This window comes from Homo sapiens, chromosome 1, assembly GCF_000001405.40.
Source record: "Homo sapiens chromosome 1, GRCh38.p14 Primary Assembly".
NCBI lineage: Eukaryota > Metazoa > Chordata > Mammalia > Primates > Hominidae > Homo > Homo sapiens.
In genome coordinates, this window is record NC_000001.11 from 17409209 (window position 1) to 17430762 (window position 21554).

General features: G+C 51.0%; 1 protein-coding gene across 2 annotated transcripts in view, besides 6 other annotated features; it reads right to left on the reverse strand.

The window, feature by feature from the left end:
- The window catches only part of RCC2 (regulator of chromosome condensation 2), a 32918-nt gene that overhangs the window by 2449 nt on the left and 8915 nt on the right, over nt 1–21554 (reverse strand). For both annotated transcript variants that reach the window (NM_018715.4, NM_001136204.3), the window contains 10 exons: nt 19898–19991; nt 16333–16476; nt 13497–13628; nt 12995–13083; nt 11506–11620; nt 7272–7438; nt 4329–4509; nt 3865–3970; nt 2914–2986; nt 766–843 (listed from right to left, as the gene is read on the reverse strand). In NM_018715.4, coding sequence (NP_061185.1) covers nt 766–843; nt 2914–2986; nt 3865–3970; nt 4329–4509; nt 7272–7438; nt 11506–11620; nt 12995–13083; nt 13497–13628; nt 16333–16476; nt 19898–19991 — 1179 coding nt within the window. The remainder of the gene's footprint in view (nt 1–765; nt 844–2913; nt 2987–3864; nt 3971–4328; nt 4510–7271; nt 7439–11505; nt 11621–12994; nt 13084–13496; nt 13629–16332; nt 16477–19897; nt 19992–21554) is intronic.
- Nucleotides 7769–8639: an enhancer, noted in NCBI's record as "H3K4me1 hESC enhancer chr1:17743473-17744343 (GRCh37/hg19 assembly coordinates)". NCBI's record gives its function as "activates a minimal SCP1, AML or CMV promoter by ChIP-STARR-seq in primed H9 embryonic stem cells {active_cell/tissue: H9 hESC(primed)}" and the evidence as "EXISTENCE:reporter gene assay evidence [ECO:0000049][PMID:30033119]".
- Nucleotides 10579–11113: an enhancer, noted in NCBI's record as "H3K27ac-H3K4me1 hESC enhancer chr1:17746283-17746817 (GRCh37/hg19 assembly coordinates)". NCBI's record gives its function as "activates a minimal SCP1, AML or CMV promoter by ChIP-STARR-seq in primed H9 embryonic stem cells {active_cell/tissue: H9 hESC(primed)}" and the evidence as "EXISTENCE:reporter gene assay evidence [ECO:0000049][PMID:30033119]".
- Nucleotides 12843–13597: an enhancer, noted in NCBI's record as "H3K4me1 hESC enhancer chr1:17748547-17749301 (GRCh37/hg19 assembly coordinates)". NCBI's record gives its function as "activates a minimal SCP1, AML or CMV promoter by ChIP-STARR-seq in primed H9 embryonic stem cells {active_cell/tissue: H9 hESC(primed)}" and the evidence as "EXISTENCE:reporter gene assay evidence [ECO:0000049][PMID:30033119]".
- Nucleotides 16359–16997: an enhancer, noted in NCBI's record as "H3K27ac-H3K4me1 hESC enhancer chr1:17752063-17752701 (GRCh37/hg19 assembly coordinates)". NCBI's record gives its function as "activates a minimal SCP1, AML or CMV promoter by ChIP-STARR-seq in naive H9 embryonic stem cells {active_cell/tissue: H9 hESC(naive)}" and the evidence as "EXISTENCE:reporter gene assay evidence [ECO:0000049][PMID:30033119]".
- Nucleotides 18917–19555: an enhancer, noted in NCBI's record as "H3K27ac-H3K4me1 hESC enhancer chr1:17754621-17755259 (GRCh37/hg19 assembly coordinates)". NCBI's record gives its function as "activates a minimal SCP1, AML or CMV promoter by ChIP-STARR-seq in primed H9 embryonic stem cells {active_cell/tissue: H9 hESC(primed)}" and the evidence as "EXISTENCE:reporter gene assay evidence [ECO:0000049][PMID:30033119]".
- Nucleotides 19601–20215: an enhancer, noted in NCBI's record as "NANOG-H3K4me1 hESC enhancer chr1:17755305-17755919 (GRCh37/hg19 assembly coordinates)". NCBI's record gives its function as "activates a minimal SCP1, AML or CMV promoter by ChIP-STARR-seq in naive H9 embryonic stem cells {active_cell/tissue: H9 hESC(naive)}" and the evidence as "EXISTENCE:reporter gene assay evidence [ECO:0000049][PMID:30033119]".

Sequence of the window (21554 nt, forward strand, 5' to 3'; positions counted from 1 at the left end):
CAGCGTTGGGTGTGCCTGAGGCGCCTGGACTAATCAATGCGTTGAAGAGACTCTGGAAACTGGGCTGCTAAAGCGGGTCAGCATGGAGAAAAACAGAGTGCCCTTGAAAACTGCAAAAAGCCCCTCTGCCCAAGACAGCTAGTTTCCATGTGACTGCCACCAACGCTCTGCCAATCAGAGCCTTCCAGGCTGCCCTGGGAGACCCAGCTGGAAGGAAGCCCACTGGGCCACCTCTTATCAGCAGGGACAGGTGGGGACATGGCTCCAGCTCCACTTCCATCCCCCCCCTCTCTGGCTCACAATCCTGCCTGGGTGAGGTGCACCACCCCTCTCTGTGTCTTGGCAGACAGGGCCAGCAGGCTGGCTGACTGAGCCGCAGGGGCCTCACCCCGCCATCTGACTCCTGCAGCCACGCAGCCTCTACTCTGTGGACCTGCGGACCTGCCTCCAGCCCAGTGGATCTGAGTCCTGGGTGTGATGGAGACGCGAGCGATGTGCTCGCCCGAGAGTGGATCTGCTGCGGCCAGTTGGTGCCATCTGTCATCAAGGGTGAGGACAGCCACCCAGCCTGGCCAGCAACCCTGTGCACTCTCTCCTGCAGAATGATTGTTACCTCTCAAACAAATCTTAGCGTGAGACACCAGGAAAGCCAGCTGAGATGGTAAACAAGACAACCCAAACAGACTGCGATGATCAAAATCATGAGGAGTGACATACCACTGGGTACGGACACGTCCCCGAGCTGGCACAGCTGCCCCCACTCACCTGCTCTGAGAAAATGCCATCCAGAGTCTTTACCTCCTGGGCTGCAGTGGAAGACTTGGGCTTGTGGTCCCCGTAGCCCTGGCGAAGCAAACAAGATGTTCGCAATCGAGGATCCATGTGGCTCAGTCCACAAGTGGGGAATCACGGCAACATTTCCTGGCCCCCACTAACCAGAAGCCAGTGATGATGCCCTCTGGCCCATGACAAGCCCGGCCACCCTTGCACACAAGGGCCAGGTGGAATCATCCAAGTTTATCCACAAAAGGTGCCACCAGCAGGCGACTAGCGCTTAACCTAAGGAAGACCAAGGTGCCCAACTCTAGCCTGCAGGACTTCTGTGTGCACAAGTCCCTTCTGGGGAGTATGGCACTGGTGACAAGAGATGACACCACGAGTGCAGGAAGAATGGCAACTGCGGCCCTTCAGGACCAAAGCGACCAAGAACACGGGCTGACCAAATGCCCTTGATGCCTCCACCATCCAGAGTGGAATAATCACCATCCAAAACAAAACAAAATAAAAGGGCTTAAGCGTGACAGGGAGACTATTAGCAATGGCACCAGAGAACCAGTTTCCCTCCCAGAGGTAGAAGGAACTGGATGAATTGGCGCAGCTAAGGGGGAGTCTTGTGCAAAGGTGTGGAGCTGGGCAATTGAAAGACTGAAGGCCCTGGCTCAGGTGAAACAGAGGGTCCCACAGGGCGGGAGAGGAGGACCCTCCCTCCCCAGCCCAGGCCTGCCCACATGTCCCTGGTTTCATCTCCTGCCAGGCCCCACCTCGGGCCTTCCCACACAGTAGATGTTCCCTCCAAGGTGCCAGGCCAACTTCTCACCCTTGAGAAGCTCCCCAAAAAGTCTCCCTTGCTCCCCTCTAGTTTCAAAATTTATATTTAGAAGGTCAAAGTCTATTTCTGATAGGCCCCAGAAAACATCCTTCCTCCTCTAAGAACTATCTGTAGAAACTGGGCCAGGCTCTGTCTCTTTCCTGTCAATGTTTCAAATCGGGCCACCAGAGCATCTGAGCCAGACTCCAAGGGTGTGCAGAGCCCCGAGAAAAAGGTGCATTCACCATCCATCCCAGCCACAGCTCAAGGGACCAAGGAACGCCCTTCCTTCCCCTCCTCTCCATCAACCACAAGAGTACCTTGCAACCACAAGAGTGCAGGAGAGGGAGACAGACTGTGCTTCTAACAAGAAATAAGGGACTAAAACTAAGACCACCAAGAGTTAAGCGGAGAATCAAACCATGACTAGTGTAGGCAGATCAGGATGCACTCCACAGCCAAGCTAGTCTTCCTAACAAAAACTCAAAGACCCGCCTTGGCCAGGTGCAGTGGCTCACGCCTGTAATCCCAGCACTTTGGGAGGTTGAGGCGGGTGGATCACCTAAGGTCAGGAGTTCAAGACAGCCTGGCCAACATGGTGAAACCCCATCTCTACCAAAAATACAAAAATTAGCTGGGCGTGGTGGCAAACGCCTAGAGTCCCAGCTACTCAGGAGGCTGAAGCAGGAGAACTGAGAATCATTTGAACCTGGGAGACAGAGGGTGCAGTGAGCCAAGATCGCGCCACTGCACTCCAGCCTGGGTGACAGAGAAACTCCATCTCAAAAAAAAAAAAAAAAAAGACTCACCTAGCACCAGGATCTAAGAATGAAAGACATTTGTTTGCGGAAGGCCACGTGTGTGAAATTGAGGGTCATGAGTTCTAACCTCATCACTCAAGTAACTGGTATTAACAACAGAAACACAGGTTTAAACTCAATTTGGAAAAATGAAGAATGTCCTCAAATCACCCACAACTGTGAGTTTCCCACTGACTTAGGCCTCCAGGGGAGAGGGAACAAACAGGCCCTTTTCCTACCATAACCCAACTGTGGTTTACAAAATGTGAGGGGAAACCGGATCTGAAAAGTCCCAATTTTCAGAGTTTACAAATGTGCAGAGATGACTCAGAATTATCTGACTAGCACAGAATTGTCCTTGAAAACTCATGGGACTCAATCGTGTTGCAAACCTTAATACAATAAGGGGGGAATCCCAAATGTTTTTCTTCTGTGTGTTTTGGGAGACAGGTGGAGAGAACCCAAAGGCCATGAGCCACCCTGACTGGCTTCCACTTCCCCTGACCCGCACAGGTGACAGCTTACCAGTTCCCCAAAGGTCGGTGACGGACCCCAGCTGATGGTGCTCTCATCGGCGGCCACAATGATGCTGCTCTTCCTGCAAACAGGCAGGCTGTCACTGCAGGGCCAGCAGCCCCAGACCTGCACCCACGCAGCTATGGCTCAAGGGCATGAGTGTGAGCTGCCACTTTTCCCTTGGCGTACTCATTCCAAGTAGCAAACACAATAACAGGGCCAACAGGTTTCTCCTCAATCCTAAGATTGTTCCGTGCAGGCCACTCAACGCTTCAACAAAACAACAAAGCCCTTAGACAGGCCTAGGGGCCAAAGGCAGGGGACCTTGCTGTGCATCCTGCACAGCTCTCTCTCAGTGGGAGGTCGCTTTGGGAAGAGGAGACCAGATCAGGATAAAGTGAAAGCCTGTTCCAGAGGGAGCAGCCTTCATGCATAATGATTTGGGCAGGGCTAGAGCCTTCAACAGATTAAAGCCACGCCGACAGAGGCCCCTCATACTGTTCCACCCACACCTGCCAGCTGATAAATCCAACTCCTCAGCAAGAAGTGCTAGCTAACTCAACAGGTGTCCTGAAATGAACTACAAACCACTGCTGCCAAGACAATGTCGTCTTCCCAGTGTCACAGCAACTCAAGTCCTGCTACGTTTCCAACTACGTATAATTTTCAACCTGCAGCGTAGGAATACATCAAGCTCTGCTTGTTTATTTCTTTGAACAGAAACCTTCAAAATGACTTTCTTCCCACAAGACAGGGAACAGCCATCTGTTCTAGCAGCAAATGGGCCCTCTCCCCTCCTGTACCCCCGGACTCTGGGATTCAGTGTGTCAGATGGCCTGCTGAGGACAGCCCAACAGGCAGCAGAAACAGAGCCCCATCAGGGAGGGGCACCCCATGGGTGTGTCTGACACCCCCATGAAAGGAAGAGACCTCATACCCACAGGAGATGCTGCCACCTACCCACAAGCCAGGCTCCGGATTCTCCAGCCGCAGAGGTCCTGCACTGCTTTTGGGTACATGGTAGATTCACGGGAGGTGTTGGTGGCCCCCCAGAAAAACAGACCACCTAAGGGAAGACAAAACATGTTCCCAGCGTGACCAGACATCGAGAGCTGAGTCTCATCTTCAGTATTATCAGGGTGAAAAGAGGACGGGATGGCAAACAAGTGTTCTGTCTAAAAGATAACTGGAGCCAGGCGTGGTGGCGTGCCTGTGCAGTCCTAGCTACTCAGGACGCTGTGGTGGTAGGACTGCTTGAGCCCAGGAGTTCGACACCGGCCTGGACAACACAACGAGTTCCTGTCTCAAAAAAATAAAGAACACTGGGAGGTAAAGAGAATTGGGGTTCGTGGTCTAGGGACAGGACAATGGCTACACGGTTCCGCACCAGAGCACTGATAAGCCAGGGGGCAGAAATCACTAACCCACTTCACTGACAGCAAAGGAGCAGGTGTAACCAGCATAGATCTGGGAAGCCCCACGCCCAGGGAAGTCAAACAGCTTCACCAGGCGGGGGACCATCTCATCCTTCTGCTCTGCGTGGCCCAGCCGGCCATAGCCACCAAAGCCCCAGGAGAAGACTCGCTTCTGGGAGTCCAGGACCAGCTGCAAGGAAAGAAAACACAGGGTTGGAACAAACAGACTTCCAACAGGCAACAAGAGGGGTCATCGTTTCTGTGCAGACAACCTGGTGCAAATGCTAAGGGCAAAGGAACAGCAACATTCAAGATCCCCTACCAGCCGGGCACGGTGGTTCACATCTAATCCCAACACTTTGGGAGGCCAAGGTGGGTGGATCACTTGAGGTCAGGAGTTTGAGACCAGCCTGGCCAACATGGTGAAACCCTGTCTCCAAAAACCAAAGAAATATCCTTTGCCTGCCTCCAGCAGAAAGATCCTCTACCTCCCGCCTCCAGCAGTGGGGGAGGAGGCAACAGGAGCAAGTGTAGCAAAATGGCATGCATTCAATAAGCCCAGTTTGCTATTTTCTCTGCCAGGGACTCCATTTTCCAATCCTTTTTTGTTCTGTTTATTTATTTAAGTTACAAGTCTTAACCCTTTCCTTAATCAGAAGCAACAGGGCTATGTCTCCTGAGAGTTGGGCAATCATTTGATTCCCACTACAACAGAGATTCGGCCAGATGCAGTGGCTCATGCCTGTAATCCTAGCACGTTGGGAGGCTGAGGCAGGTGGATTGCCTGAACTCAGGAATTCAAGACCAGCCTGGGCAACATGGTGAAACCCATCTCTACTAAAATACAAAAAAATTAGCTGGGCACAGTGGTGTGCACCTGTAATCCCAGCTACTCAGGAGGCTGAGACAGGAGAATCTCTTGAACCTGGGAGGCGGAGGCTGCAGTGAGCCGAGATAGCGTCACTGCACTCCAGCCTGGGTGACGGAATGAGACTCCATCTCAAAAAAAAAAAACAAAACGAAACAAAAAAAAAAACACAACAAAAAAAAAACAGATTCAATTGCAGAAAGAACAGAAAAGGCCTACCTGTTCCTGGATTTTTCGTTTCTTTTCCCCCCCTCGAGAGGGTCTCGTGCTCTGTTACCTAGGCTGGAATGCAATGGCACGATCACGGCTCACCACAACCTCCACCTCCTGGGCTCAAGCGATTCTCCTACCTCAGCCTCCCAAGTCGCTAGGACTTGGGTGTGCACCACCATGCCCAGCTGATTTTTGTGGTTTTTTTGTAGAGATGGGGGTCTCACCATGTTGCTCAGGCTGGTCTCAAATGATCTGCCCACCTTGGCCTCCCAAAGTCCTCTGATTACAAACATGAACCACTGCGCCCGGCCTGGATTTTTCTTTAGACTTCCCTCACCCACAGGTACAGAGGTAACCTGTACCTGGTCACTGATGAAATGAACTCAGAGACACTTCAAGTGTTTAAGATTTATCTTCTTCAGTCTCGTTTTCCCATCTTCTGACATGCCAATTCAGTTCTTTGATGTTTCATGTCTAAACCATGGGAATCTACAACTTACTAAAAAACTTGGCCTATAAGGCCCTAAACAAGAGCCAACTTTATTTCCCCTGACTACATCAGACAAAACAAATCAGTTTTTGGACTTGCACAAACTGAAATCTCCTACCCTAGTCCTAGCCCAATTCCCTGGGCATTCTTCATCGGCAAGAAGATTCCAAGGGAAGGAGGTGGTGAGCTGAGACCACTCAGTGGGGAGGACCAACTTGATCTCTGGAATCCTAGCCCAGGCTTTTTCAACAAAGCATAGAACAAAGAGACTCCTAGGCATTCTCAGACAGAAGAACCACAGGAAGGCCATTAAAATTAAAAGATACACTAACAGCCGGGCGCGGTGGCTCACACCTATAATCCCAGCACTTTGGGAGGCCGAGGCAGGTGGATCACGAGGTCAGGAGTTTGAGACCAGCCTGGCCAACATGGTGAAACCCCATCTCTACTAAAAATACAAAATTAGCCAGGAATGGTGGCAGGTGCCTCTAATCCCAGCTACTCAGGAGGCTGAGGCAGGAGAATAGCTTGAAACAGGAAGACAGAGGTTGCAGTGAGTTGAGATCCCACCACTGCATTCCAGCCTGGGTGAAAAAGTGAAACTCCGCCTCAAATAAAAAAAAAAAAGATACACAAACAAAAGATTGCACTGCAGTTTATCTAAAGTGACCTTTAAAGAAACAACCTAGGCCAGGCGTGGTGGCTCACACCTGTAATCCCAGCACTTTGAGAGGCCGAGGTGGGCAGATCACCTGAGGTCAGGAGTTTGAGACCAGCCTGACCAACATGGAGAAACCCTGTCTCTACTGAAAATACAAAACTAGCCGGGGCATGGTGGCGCATGCCTGTAATCCCAGCTACTCGGGAGGCTGAGGCAGGAGAATTGCTTGAACCTGGGAGGTGGAAGCTGTGGTGAGCCGAGATCACGCCATTGCACTCCAGCCTGGGCAACAAGAGTGAAACTGTCTCCAAAAAAAAAAGGGGGGGGGGGCGGGGGGGACAACCTACTGATTAAAAACGACTCACATCCCCAGTATGGGGCACCATCTACTGACCTGGAAAGATGTCTGTGATGTTATGTTAGATAAAAGCCAAAAGCAGAAAGTGCTTACCTTAAGGTGCAGGTGAGGGCGGCAAAACATCTACGTGTTTAAGATGTGTCTATTTAAATCACGGGAGAAGTTAACATAGGAGGCAGTGACAGGGAACCCTGCCCTGGGACCAAGGACCCTTTGGCCAAGGTGCAAAGCCCTCTTGAAGAAGCAAGCAGATGTCTACCTGGGATCAGTTCCTAGCCAAAGCCAAGCGTCAGGAAACTTGAGCATAAACACCCCTTCCATCCTGGTGCGACTCTCAGGAAGTGAGAAAAGCCGAGCCTCACCGTGTGGTTAGCGCCACAGGCCACGTCTCGTACAACCACGTTTGGTACAGGCAGAATCTGTCCATCTTTCGTCTTCTCAATGAAGATGGCCACTCGCCGGGGAACTAGTTCACAGTCGTACTCTATCCGCTGTGCCCGGGCGATGAACTTCCCATCTGAGTTGTGTCCTGTAGAGACCACAGAGCCGGCCATCAGCAGCAGCACAAGCACAAGGGACGTGTCAGTGTGCTCACACGGACTCTGTAGTGAGCCCCGGCAGCACCCCAATCTGGCCCTTCTGGGCCTTAGACCAGCACACGTTGGTCAACAAAGGCAGCATTTCCAATCTTAGGCACAGCACAGTGAGTGGGTCAGTGAAATCAATTTTGTGAGCTAAGACCAGTTATTTTTTAAAAACGAATAGAACAGAATGACAAAGAATACTCTACACATAATAATGGCACCATGTTACAACAATTCCAGGTAAGGTATTATACGTTCAGATTGGGTTGCAAAAGAAAACTTATTTCTTACAATGGGTTGCAGTCAAAAAAGTTGAAGCTGCTGATCAAGGAATGGTCTATCAAGTAAGATCTCTACCCCACTGGAGGGACCACAAGGAGCCCCTAAAAGACCAAGAATAGACAGAAAAGCTCCATACACAATCCCAGGCCTCTGTTTTTATGAATTACCAGTAACCTAAACGTATGGTTACGGGTGGCTAAAGCCTGCAATTCCCACACTCCGAATGACCCAGGGACTGGTTCGCAAAGACCCAGCTCAGCACACCACACACCAGAAGCCCGGCTGCTCCAGTCCTGAGAACACGCCAGACACCCAAGCTCCTGCAGCCACCTGCAGCAGCAGGGCTGCTAAGTAGTTTATAGTTTTAAACTGCTCCTGTTCCCACACTGTGATCATCAGTTTGGTTGGGCACGGTGGGCCACGCCTGGAATCCCAGCACGTTGGGAGGCCGAAGTGGGTGGATCACCTGAAGTGAGGTGTTTGAGACCAGCCTGGCCAACACAGTGAAGGCCTGTCTCTACTTTAAAAAACAAAAACAAACAAACAAAGATTAGCTGGGCGTGGTGGTGGGTGCCTATAGTCCAGCTACTTGGGAAGGCTGAGGCAGAAGAATCGCTTGAACCTGGGAGGTGGAGGTTGCAGTGAGCAGAGATCATGCCACTGCACTCCAGCCTGGGCGACAGAACAAGTTTCTGTCTCCAAAAAAAAACAAACAAAAAAACTTGTTGTTATCAGTTTGTAAACTAGCCCCCGGCTTGTGGCTAATCCCCCTCCATACGGCACGCTGGTGTGCACCTCAGCCCTTATTGGTATGTGTGTTTTTGAGCACTGTGCTATTTAAATACAGTCAGCCCTCCATGGCCACAGGTTCAACCAACAGTGGTCCAAAAATATCTGGGGGGAGGAGGAAACAAGGAAAAAAAAAAGATAATACAAACAATACAAGTAAGACCATACAGTAGAACTACTTACATAACATTTACATCACATTAGGTACTGAAGTAATCTAGAGATGATTTTAAGTGTACAGGTTACATGCAAATACTATGCCATTTTATATAAGGTACTTGAGCATCTTAAGATCTTGGTATCCACAGGGGGTACTGGAAGCAATCCCCCAGGTTACCAAGGAGCAACTGCACCCTGGAATCACAACTACGCTACACACAATAAAACTCCTGGGCTTGTTTACAGGGCGCCTTATAACACTCATCTCATAAGCAGGTTCTATTTTTTTTTTTTTTTTTTTGAGACAGAGTCTCGCTCTGTCGCCCAGGCTGGAGTGCGGTGGCATGATCTCTGCTCACTATCACTGTCTTATGACAGCAGTTCTCTACTGTTGACATAATCCCTTCCAGTGGAACATCTGTCCGTTTAAAAGTCTGAGGGTCTTGGCCGGGCGCGGTGGCTCGCGCCTGTAATCCCAGCACTTTGGGAGGCTGAGGTCGGCGGATCACGAGGTCAAGAGATTGAGACCATCCTGGCCAACATGGTGAAACCCCGTCTCTACCAAAAATACAAAAATTAGCCAGGTGTGGTGGCGCACGCCTGTAGTCCCAGCTACTCAGGAGGCTGAGGCAGGAGAATCGCTTGAACCCGGGAGGCGGAGGGTGCAGTGACCCGAGATCGCGCCACTGCACTCCAGCCTGGTGACAGAGCAAGACTCCGTATCAAAAAAAACAATAAAAGTCTGAGGGTCCCCACTAAGAAATTCCCCCACCTTCTAGGCTACGATGAATGTAAGAGCATCACAGTAAATAGAATGCATTTCCGGATATGTCGCTACTTTTCTCACAAAAATGGTATTTTTAAACACTTGCACTCTTCCGGACAAGGTTTCAGCAAGGCAGTCAACAAATGATTAGAGTCCTTTTATTTGCTATCGACACAGTGGATACTGAACAGACACAACTCCCAGACAGGAGAGGAGGCACATTTGGTGACTGCTTTTTCCACCTCCTTTAAAGAGCTGCACACATCTGCTTTCTCCAGAAGTACAGGACAGAAGCTACTCCAGAAAACATCGAACAGCGGGCTTCCCTGTCCCTCTAGAGGGGTGACAGCTCTTTAAAATAAAGTTAAATGGCATGGCTGGGCACGGTGGCTCATGCCTGTAATCCCAACACTTTGGGAGGCCGAGGCGGGTAGATCACTTGAGATCAAGCGTTTGAGACCAGCCTGGTCAACATGGTGAAACCCCGTCTCTACTAAAAATACAAAAAAAAGTTAGCTGGGTGTGGCAGCGGGCGCCTGTAGTCCCAACTACTTGGGAGACCGAGGCAGGAGAATTGCTTGAACCAAGGAGGTGGAGGTTGCAGTGAACTGAGATCACACCACTGCACTCCATCCCGGGTGACAGAGGGAGACTCCGTCTTTCTTATCTTGGCGTTGCCCAGCCCAGTTCAGTGCACTGCAAAAAAGGGGGCACAAGGCATGAGTGTGTGTGGATGAGACACGGCCATAGTCGGATTTAGGTTCATTCTAAAAGTGATCTATCTGGATTTGGACAACGAAACAAACACCTGCCTTAAAGCAAGTAATACGCTGAGAATAAGCGATTCTGTAGCTACAAATCAAGCCGATTTCCAAACTACCTGCAAGTTGAGTGTAACTGAGCACCTGCGAATTTGTACAAAGTGCTTACATGGTGCCTGGCACACACAGTCACTGCTCCATGAAAGTGAGCCGTTTTTATCACCAACAGCATGTCATGCTTCCTGACGGAAAATCGACTTGCCGGGGTGCAGAGGGGAGGCCAAGGCAGCAGGAGCGCGCACGTGGCAGGAAGCGGACCGCTGCTGGGCACCGCAGCAGGGCTGTGGCCATGGAAACCGCTCTCCAACTGTCTCGGGCTCCACCACGGCAACCAACGCGAAATGTGAAATGTGCGTAAGGGGCTGTTCTCTCTTATTCACTTCTGACTTGAAGTATATTTAGTTTCACAAAGTCACTGTTCCCCGAGGCTAAGGCCAGCGGGCTCGGCGCTATTTTTACCTTTTCCATCTGCCAGGCGCTGCGGCTGCAGGAGCGCGCGCGGCCAGCAGAGGGCGCCCGCGCCACACCTCGCGGAGGCCTCCCCAGAGGGGCTGGAGTGGAGGCAGAGCCACAACCGGGAAGCGCACTTCAGGGAACCGCACTTAGGGTCCGATGGGAAGGAGAATGGAGACCATCAGGTCGGAAGACACTCCCCCCACTAACTGAGAACTGATGCCTGAATTCTCCTTTTCCACCAATGAGATCGAAGAAACAAGTTTCTGGACAACTAGATTCTGGCTAGGGATGACGCACGGGGAGGGGGTCCACCAGGGCTCCTCACGTGGCAACCCGAAATAATCGCCCAGGCCAGGGTTTCCAGAACAACGTTCATTTTCCGTAATTTTCTCATTTTCAATAAAGGCATAATCTTTAAATGTGAAATTGAATGAAGGTGGTCTGATTTTTTTTTAACTTTGAAATCCCTTTATATAAATGAATTCCCAAATCAGAAAAAAAGAAATCTTTTGTAGGACTCCAGTCCCAACTTTTCCATTGAGGCAGTGTTGCAATACTCCATAATCCTGTGAATGAGGACGCGCTGTTCTGCTGAACGTGAGATCCACTTAACGGACAAAGGCTATTATCTGAGATCAATTACCCACATTTCTAACACGTGTGTGCAGCCCCACACTGATCTCTAGTTCTGAATATATACAGTTAGATTACAGAGCTTTTAAAAAATGTACTTCCATACCCAGCTGACCATATTCAGGGCACCCAAAGGAATAGAGGTTTCCTTTGCAGTCCATTATCATACTGAATTCAGCCCCACAGGCCATTTTGGTAATTGGCTGGCCGTTGTACATTATCTGAAAAGACAAGAAAGGAGACTTTCATTTTTTTTAAAGACTGATAAAAAGCCTCTACCTCTCTGCATGTTGGTGGGAAACAATTACTAGGTTACAAACGGAAGTTTAATAAACTCAGTAATTCTGAAGGCAAAAGCTGAAGGCATTTCTAGAACACAAAGCTTAGAAGATATGTAAAGAAGCACCCTCAGACCCCCACCCTCCCAGCACAGAGCAGTTCAAAGCCTAGCCACTGTCTCTTTAAGATCAATAAAACCAAGTCCCTCCCTTCCTTCATCACCTAGACCACTAATTAGGCACTTAGCATTCTTCTGCCTTTAGTAGTAGTTTGTTTTTAAGGTATAAATCTCACCCCTCCAACTCAAGTTTCTTAGAAAAAAAAAGACTGCCTATCTCCTGGGCGCGGTGGCTCACACCCAGCACTTTGGGAGGCCGAGGCAGGCAGATCAGGAAGTCAAGAGATGGAGACCATCCTGGCCAACATGGTGAAACCCCATCTCTACTAAAAATACAAAAATTAGCCAGGCGTGGTGGAGCATGCCTGTAGTCCCAGCTACTCGGGAGGCTGAGGCAGGAGAATCGCTTGAATCCGGGAGGCAGAGGTTGCAGTGAGCTGAGATCGCGCCACTGCACTCTAGCCTGGCAACAGAGCGAGACTCTGTCTCCCCTCCAAAAAAAAAAGACTGCCTATCTCGTATTTGTATTCTAAGCATCTGGCTGGTGACTTTATACAAGGTCAAAACAAAGTATTTGGGGGAAGTACAATTACATCCATATAACATCACTCACTTTCTTTGGAACAGAACAGGCTTACGACAAGGCATTTCTAACAGATTTCTCCATTTGGAAACAAAATGTTTTCAGGATGGTTTTCAACCCGACCACAAACTAAGCCTGTTTTAAAAACTATAGCAAGGCTGTGTGCAGTGGCTCACACCTGTAATCCCAGTACTTTGGGAGGCCGAGGTGGGTGGATCACCTGAGGTCAGGAGTTCCAGACCAGCCTGACCAACATGGAGAAACCCCGTCTCTACTAAAAATACAAAATTAGCCAGGTGTGGTGGCACATGCCTGTAATCCCAGCTACTCCAGAGGCTGAGGCCGGGGAATCACTTGAACCCGGGAGGCGGAGGTTGCAGTGAGCCGAGATTGCGCCATTGCACTCCAGCCTGGGCAAAAAGAGTGAAACTCCGTTCTCAAAAAAAAACAAAAAACAAAAAAACAAACAAAAAAACTCTACAGCATGTAACTAAACATCCAGACCCTGTTTTTACAAGGGGTAAATTAACTCAAACGGAGACCCCACCTTAGAAAATCAAACACAAAAGTAAAGAGAAACAAAAAGCCATGGAGCCGGAGCTGAGGAGGGGTCACCTGCGCGGGGCTGGGAACAGCGTCTGTCTGGTTGCCAAGGCCCAGCTGCCCCATCTTGTTTTCCCCAAACGCAAACACGGAGCCCGTTTCTGGAAGAAAGGAAAAATATCACAAAAGGGAAGATAATGGTGAATGTTTTGAACTAGATTTAGAATCAAAGGCATCAAAATAATAAAAACAGCTCATTTGCCAGGCAGAAGGCAAGTGAGACTGCCCAAAAGCTGGCAGTGCAGACGCTTCACAGCAAAGCCATTTCACATCAGAAACTGGGTGTGCAGAGAAACAGAGGGCAGCGTCTCCTACTCCCAGATGGGCCTCCTATGGCCACTGGGGAGGCTCCCAATGCCCTCAAGAAGCCACTCCATGCCAAGGTTCTCAGGGCCTCTTTCTGATCCTGACCAAGAGTCACAAGGGGAACTCCACCACCCCACGCCCCATCCCCAAGGCAGACCACCTGGCCTCTTGCCAAACTGAGAGGAGACACCAGCAGCCACCTCCTTACCCGTCAAGGCCAAGGTGTGGTTCCGCCCACATGCTGCAGACACAATCACTTCGTGGCTAAGACCCTCGATGAGTCTAGGGGCTTCTACTCTCTTGGTGTCACCATGTCCCAGCTGCCCCTTCTCATTTCGACCTGCAGATCACATGAGAGAAAGTAGAAAAGAGAGAGGGTGGTCCAGGCGGCACCACCAGGAGAAGGCGAGTACAAACACACTCTCAAATGATGCCCATCTGTCTCTGGAAGGTACCCTCCAAATTCCCAACAGCCAAGATCCAGAGCAAAGAACGCCCCGGCCCTCTGCCCGCTGGAATGGCGCCTGCTGCAGCTCCCCGGACCTCCTTCCCTGGGGCAGCAGCGGGACCACCCGTGCACACCTCCCACGTCTCTGCTACAAAGGGAAATGAGAGGCTCAGTGTGGTAGGGACACCATGCACAGGCGGGCATGCTCGCAGAAACACGCCGTTCCCACTTAGAGTGCCTGCAAGACAACCACCCCGTCCCTACCCTCTGAGATGTATTTTAAGACAGCACCCCATTTTGACACCTGGCTCACCAGAGTTTAATCACTTTGGTGCTCTGGGCATCCACTGAGGACCATTTGGTGTCTGCCCAATATTTCTCTTCCTTTTTCTACCCTGTAAATGGTGCTCACATAACAGTGCCAATCCCACCCCTAGGGATCGCCCCTCAAGGACTCTCAGCCACAGGAACCCTGGTGACAAAGCACAGATCCACCCTCAACACAACACGCCCAGCCCCACCTCCAGGACTGCTGCAGGTGCGACCAAGGCCCTGTATCTGTGAATTCCAGCGGAAGGCAGGCCTGAGGGCCAACCCCTACCCCCAAGTCCTCTGCAGAACCAAATTCAACTCCAAACAGACGTGGAAGTTGGGTGGGCCAAAAGGAGGGCTGGGAGCCCCTACACCGCATCTAGGTTTCAACACAAACTACCAAGTTCCAAAACAAAAATTCAACCGGCCACTCTCGGATCCCTCCCGATAAGAGAAAAACCACACATGTAACCTGACGTGGGGAAACTGACGGAGATCTTACAGTGGTGAGAAGTCAGGGCAATTCTAGGGGGTTTTGCAACCTTCTCCAGCAATGAACTTTTCACCCTTAGGTTGTGATAAAGGCAGACAGCAGAGCCATTAAGATGAGTTCCAGCTGTCCTGGAGAAGGCTTGCAGGAGCAGCCTCTGACTACAGAAGGAATTGCGACGAAGGGAAACCAGCCTCTGACTCGCTCTAATTAAAGAACGGCGGGCTGAAGGGCCAGCACTGGCACTCGAGCAGGAGAGGCAGATACACCAGCTTCCAATGGGAGCTGCCCAAGTTCATGTGAAAGGCATGTGAATACAGAGCAACAAGTGCAAGTCTCAGTGGACTGAGATGCGGCAGGACAGGGTGAGCGGGCCACAGATGGAGACCCCACATGAGCAATGCGTCAGCCACCCTCCCGTGGTACTCTACTCACACCAGACGCCGCCCCCTGCCTTCTAGAGTGGCGAGCAGTGGGCCTGTGACACCTTCCAACCCTGTCCTCACCAACTGCACTGTCTGCTCGGGGATCACACGTCTTGATGGCGGGACATACATTGTCCCTGCCCACAGGGTCAGAACTGAGGGCGCTTTCAGAGCCACCACGCAAGTGAAGCTCAGCGAGAGATCAGAACTGAGGTATTTTAAGTTTGGAACACTGACATAAAAGGCTGTGTTCAGTGTTGGAACACAAAGTAGGAGGGGTGCTCTGGGGGAAGGGACACACATCTATGCCAACCGGGAGAAAACAAAAACTGTGGCAATGTCAGCATGTCATCAAGAGACTATAAAGTATAAATTTGGGCCAGACACACTTTAGCTTTTTTCAACAGAATTACAAAATTAGCCATGTGCAGGGAAGACAACAGATGTTAATATATTTGGACTTTGGTACAGCAGCTCATGAAATCACAAAAAACGGTTCAAACAGCCCAAAATAAAAATGCAGTCATATGGACTAAAAGCTAGCCAGAGGACCAGCGACAAAGGGTGGGGACAAACGCCAATATGCCCCGCTGGAGGCAGAGGCCGGGAGTCACCAAAAGGGCTGGGGATAAAATGAGCCTTAGCCCATACCCTATGATTGGAATGATCTGGAAGAGGACACGGGCAGGAATGGGCCGGCCGGCTGCAGAGGACAGTGCCGTGGACAGAGGCTAACAGAAGAACTGGAACCCATCCCGAGTGCCCAGGTGAGGAAAAACAGAAGGGAAAGCCGAACAACTCCAAAAAAGCAAACTGAAGTATCTGGGGAAATATCCTAAGAAGCAGACAACACGGACAGTGAGCTGCCAAGCCTGCAGACCAGACTTGGGCAGACCTCAGACACGAGGGCCATGGCGGCAGGGACGCAGCATCCTATGACATGAGGCGGGAGGTAGAAAAGCCAGTGGCATTTCAAGTGGCAGCAACAGAGGTCTCATGTCATATCGTGCCTCAAAGAGGAAGGAAACTGTCTGCTGGAAGGACAGCCTGCCTAACACACTCACACACCTCAGTATCAGAAAAGATCAAGCTTCGGGCAGAAGATTCAGGAAAATGTTCCTTGTGTAAACACAAGGAATCAAAGAAGTAGGGGCTGCGTATGGGCAAAAAATGTCAGGGGGGAAGGGGATCTGCATGTAGCGTGTAGACAAGAGACGAGCTGGGAATTAGGAAAAAAGACATGGGCTGTGAACGAAGGAGCCCAGCCTTATAAGACGCGAGTCTCTTTTCCAGGCAAACAGAAGAACGTGCTGTGTGGGGACAGCTGGTGACAGTGGTCCCCAGTGCCCAGCACCCGCACGGTACTCACCCCAGCTCCACAGCTTCCCTTCCGTGGTGATGAGGAGGCTGTGTGCAGCACACGAGCCCGAGACCACTGTCCGCACCCGGACCCCCGCCAGGCACCCATATCTGTGGGGCCCCCACAAATTCTGACCGAGATTGCGGTAAGCAGCTGCAGAGAGAATGAGAATGCAGATCAGACACCTGGGGTGGTGGGGTGACCTCCAAAATGTCACTGGCCACCAAGCAGCCACTTCCCGAGGGTACCAGGGACAGGTGTTCCTCGGGTGCCACCCTGCCTTGGCTGTTGGGAGGCTGCACAAGGATCGGGTTTTCACTTCGAATCTCTGCGATGCCTCTGAAGGCCCAAAAATCAAAATACCCAGAAGCTGGCACAGGCCTGGCGTCACCTGCCACCTTTACACCCATTCGGCCCCAGCCCCCTCTCTGGGTCCCACCTCTCACAGGGCTCAGCCCCACGTGTTCTGCCATTGAGCACGCCCACCCGCAAGTGCCCGGGACCTGGTGCGAGGTCTGTCCAGGAGGCAGGAGTGCTGGCTTTCCACAGCCGTCAGCTGAGGAAGAGGCTGACCCAGGAAACCCCGCTCACCCTGACAGTAACCTACCCCTCCTCCTCACTCCCTGCCGCCTGCCCCTCCTTTCCCAGGCTCTCCTGCCCTCCATCTCCGGCCTTCACCCTGGGCCAGAAGGCTCTTTCTGAGGGGTGACCCGAGTGTCCTGTCTTCATGTTCCCAGCAGCTCCATCAGGCCCCTTGAGGAGGGGCACTGCTCACACAGTATCACCCCACCTCCTGCTCCCTTCTCACCCGTCCAGTGTGACAGCCACTTCATGACTCCCCTGACACCCACCCATATATTCGCTTCCCCTAGAATGTCCTTCCCACCTCCTACTTCTTCCTGAAAGCTCAAGTCAAGCACCAGTTCGCCTCCTTGGGGAAGCCCTCCAGGGCAACATCCACTGAGAAATCTCCTTCCCCCAGGGCTCCCCTGCCCCAGCTCTGCTCAGCCCTGCTCAGCCCACCACAGCTCTCTTCCTGAGCCCCCCAGCCCTCCCACTCCATGAGAAGCCACCCAGGGCTAAAGCTGTAGGCTCCCTCCAGCCTAGACCCTCACAAATGCCTGGCACGCAGCGAGCACTCAATGGGAAAGAAAACCACAGCATCTTCCTCACAAACCCCCCTTCACACCCTATTAGAGGATGGGGCAGGGCCAATTTCTTACTTTTCTTTTTTTTTTTTTTTTTTTTTTTTTGAGACAGTTTCACTGTTGCCCAGGCTGGAGAGCAGTGGCACAATCTCGGTTCACTGCAACCTCTGCCTCCCAGGTTCAATTGATTCTCCTGCCTCAGCCTCACGAGTAACTGGGATTACAGGCGTGTGCCATCACACCCAGCTAATTTTTGTATATTTAGTAGAGAGGGTTTCACCATATTGGCCAGGCTGGTCTTTAACTCCTGAGCTCAAGTGATCCACTCGACTCAGCCTTCCAAACTGCTGGGATTACAGGCGTGAGCCACCATGCCCAGCAATCTTAATTTTTGAAATTGAGATGCTCAAGAGTATTTCCAGGATTGTGGTGATTATCCTGAAATGCTAGCCACTGCCAAATCGAGTGTGTAAGACTGATCCAATGTAGGAACTGATAAAAAGGCTACAATGTCTCTATCAAGCGCCTGGCTGCCTAGAAAGTATCTGTGAAGTACGTTCCAGCCCCACCCTCCGCCCTCAGCAGAGGGCACCACATGCTCCCTCATTCAGGTGTGGGGGCAAGTGGGCAAGACTCCTGGCCGCAGGCGGGCAGGGGCCAGCCGATCCCGCATGGCACCTGAAGCAGCACACCTGCAGACACCTCCCCTGAAAGGAGGAAGAGGAACATCAACAATTTCCTGGGGAAAGAGCAAACCAAAAATAAAAGCCTCATGGTCTATATTAAAACTTAAGAAAAACTCAAGGAGGTGGCACCTAAATTAAGATTCAGGAACTGTATTAAACAAAACTCGGAAGGGATAAAGAGAAACCCAAGGTCTCTTTGCCATGAAGACAAAATGATGGCATGATTGACGAGTATCATCACGACCCTGTGCCGCAACACAGGAGGCCACGGGACGCCAGGCAAGGGTGCGGTGCCACACTTGAACTTGCTTGGCCAAGGGGAGTCTCAGGTGGTCAGATGCTCCTGGACTTACCAAAGCATCTTTCCCTGCAGTGCCCAGGATGCCACTGGCTCCTGAGGAGCCGGGTTGGGTTTCTTCCGGCCTCCCAAGGAAGGGCTGGAGGGACTGGAGGGACCGGGCAGGGGTGGGGGAGGGGGAGCAAGTCAAATTAAACGCCCTGCAGCAGTCCCAGGCTCTGCGGTCAGACTGAGAAGTCAATTCCCACGGCCTCCGGATCCCTGGGGTCTGGTCCCAATCACAGAGCTACTGTGTGGCTTGCTGTGGTGCTATCTTGCAAAAACCAAGACATCCAGGCTGCTGGTTTTCACCAGATCTACAGCAACATACATGCGCGGGAGGCAACAGAGTTAACTAGAGAGTGGGACTCCAACCCTGGCCCTGCCACTCGCTTCCTTTGGTATTTACTGCCCTTCCCTGGGCTTCTGTATCTTCAATGTCAACTGGGCTGCTCAGTTGAAGAACGGCTTTGAGAAATGATGCAACACGGGCACAGGACTGGCAACAAGGCGCCATCAGCACCTGGGCTTACGTTACTGTAGACCAGGAGGTGCTTCCCTGGGACAAAAGCCACCATGTGGACGTGGCCCCCTCTGGCTTGGGCCTGAAGGCTGGGCATTTTCCAAACAACGCGCTGCTGCTACCTGCAACTTAAACCCATTTCTAATTCAGCTGGCCCCCAGGTGTTTTCATGGAACAAGGTGATTTCCAACGCCCCTGTTTTAAGGTGCCAAGACGAGCCAGCGTGCAAATATTTGTTCATGGGGCAAAGCAATGCTGGAAAGCACTTTGGGAGTCTTTCCAGATGAAATCAAGAAGCCATAAAAGTTGGCTACATGCCAGCCTTCCTTCTCCTGGATGGGCCTTTTCCCTTAAGACACCAGTTTTCCAAAGGTAACTGGGGACAAAACATTACTTCTTAAGGACCTCTCTGCTTTCCCCCGCTCCAGACTGTTCTGTCAAACCAGTTCCTGCAACAATTTGGCAGCTTGCAAAGAAACGTGGACTCTTCTGCAATGCCTGAAATTTTGACACCTGACATTTGACAAATGTCTAGGACATTCTGACACCATCTCACAGACCTGGTCTCTTCATTTTAATGAAAACAAGTGAGGTGAGAGGGAAGATGGAAAAGGTGGCAATGTTCATTTGAGGATACTACTTGTATTTTCCTGATTAATCTTAACGGAATTAGTGAGTCACTTCAAAATTGTGCCTTTAAAAGACTAAGATTAGGGTTCAAATCCAGCTCATCACTACAGTGGCTGTGTGGCCTCAGGCAAGTCACTTGGCCTCTGTGAAAATGCATTTGTAAATGAAGGGAATACCTACCAGGCAGGTGGTCAACAGAACCTAGCACTTAAGAAGCACTCAATGGGTTTTTGAGGCACCATTCTCATACCTTGCTGTTTAGGCACTTCTTTTCGACCAATCAAGTCCCAGTTGGTTGCCCCAAAAATCAAAAGCTGCCCTTTGCACTTTGACCCTTCAAGTTTCTGCAGAGACAGAGAAAGGAAAAAAGAATTAGTGTGTAAGTCTGCACCTAGCTTTCCAAGGCTGTCCAATGACAGCACGAAACGAAAGAAAATCATTCAGTTAGCCCTTATGTCACCTGTGACCTCCACACGAACAGAGTCTCCCCACACTCCCCTCCCTCATCGGCAAGTGGCAATGCGGGCAACCCCAAACCTGCCCACAGCCGCTCACTTGCTAAGCCCAGGCTCATTTTTATCCTTTGACTTCCCTTTAAAATAGCTTTTGCAAAACACTAAAAAAAAAACCCAAATACATGCCTCCTTCGCAAACTGATGTACAGAGGTATTTGCAGGAAGCCTGCCGGACACTCAGGGGCGTTAAATCCAGCTCATCCTAGGGCCAAGTCTCTATTTCACATGGCAAGCACGGCCTGCGACCTCAAACCTTAGGAGCCTCACATCACTTCTGCTGCCCACTCTGCCGAGAGCCTTTCCATGGGGACTCAGGAAGAAAACAGTAGAGAACAAGGTTCGATTTCTCCACTGAAGGGAGACCAGGCAGAACACAGCTTTGGTGGGTATGCAGGGGTCTGAATCAGGCGGCCTTTGATGGCACCCTCATGCCGCTGTCCATGAGCCCGGGAGCCAATGGTGAGTGAAACAGGACCTCCCAGGGGCCCGGCTCTCAAGGAACAAGCTGTCACAGCAGCCAGCATACTTCAGTGTTCATCCTCAGTCTCTCAACACAAAGTCATCAGGGCCACCAACTCTCATACTGTCAACGAAAATCTACGCCATTTAAAAAGGCCATTGTTCAATTCTGGGTGGCACTCATAATATTCTCAGCACTTTGCTTCCTTAAATGTCAAAATATACTTTTTCAAGTAGGTTGTTAGTGGAAGACTCAATTCTGAACTCCTCACTCAGTCCACACTGGCAAGGGAAGCATTCACTGCTATCACTTTCCGCTCTTACACATCTTTCCTGGACGTGAAAAGGAAAGGGGTTTCCTTCAGTTTACAGAATTGTTCTTGGAAGGCTTCAGGAAAAAAGTCTGGCAAGGCGCAATGGCTCACGCCTGTAATCCCAGCACTTTGGAAGGCCGAGGCGGGCAGATTGCTTGAGCTTGGAGACCAGGCTGGGCAACATGGCAAAACCTTGTCTCTACAGAAAATAGAAAAATGAGCCTGTGGTCCCAGTTACTTGGGAGGCTGAGGTGGGAGGATTGCTTGAGCTGAGGAGCTGGAGACTGCAGTGAGCCAAGATCACACCTGCTCTCCAGCTTAGGTGACATAGCCAGGCCTTGTCTCAAAAAAAAAAAAAAGGGGGCCAGGCACAGTGGCTCACGCCTGTAATCCCAGCACTTTGGGAGGCTGAGGCGGGTGAATCACGAGGTCAGGAGTTCAAGACCAGCCTGGCCAATATGGTAAAACCCCGTCTCTACTAAAAATACAAAAAAATTAGCCAGGCGTGGTGGCATCCGCCTGTCGTCCCAGCTACTCCAGAGGCTGAGGTAGAAGAATCCCTTGAACCCGGGAGGCGGAGGTTGCAGTAAGCTGAGATTGCACCATTGCACTCCCAGTG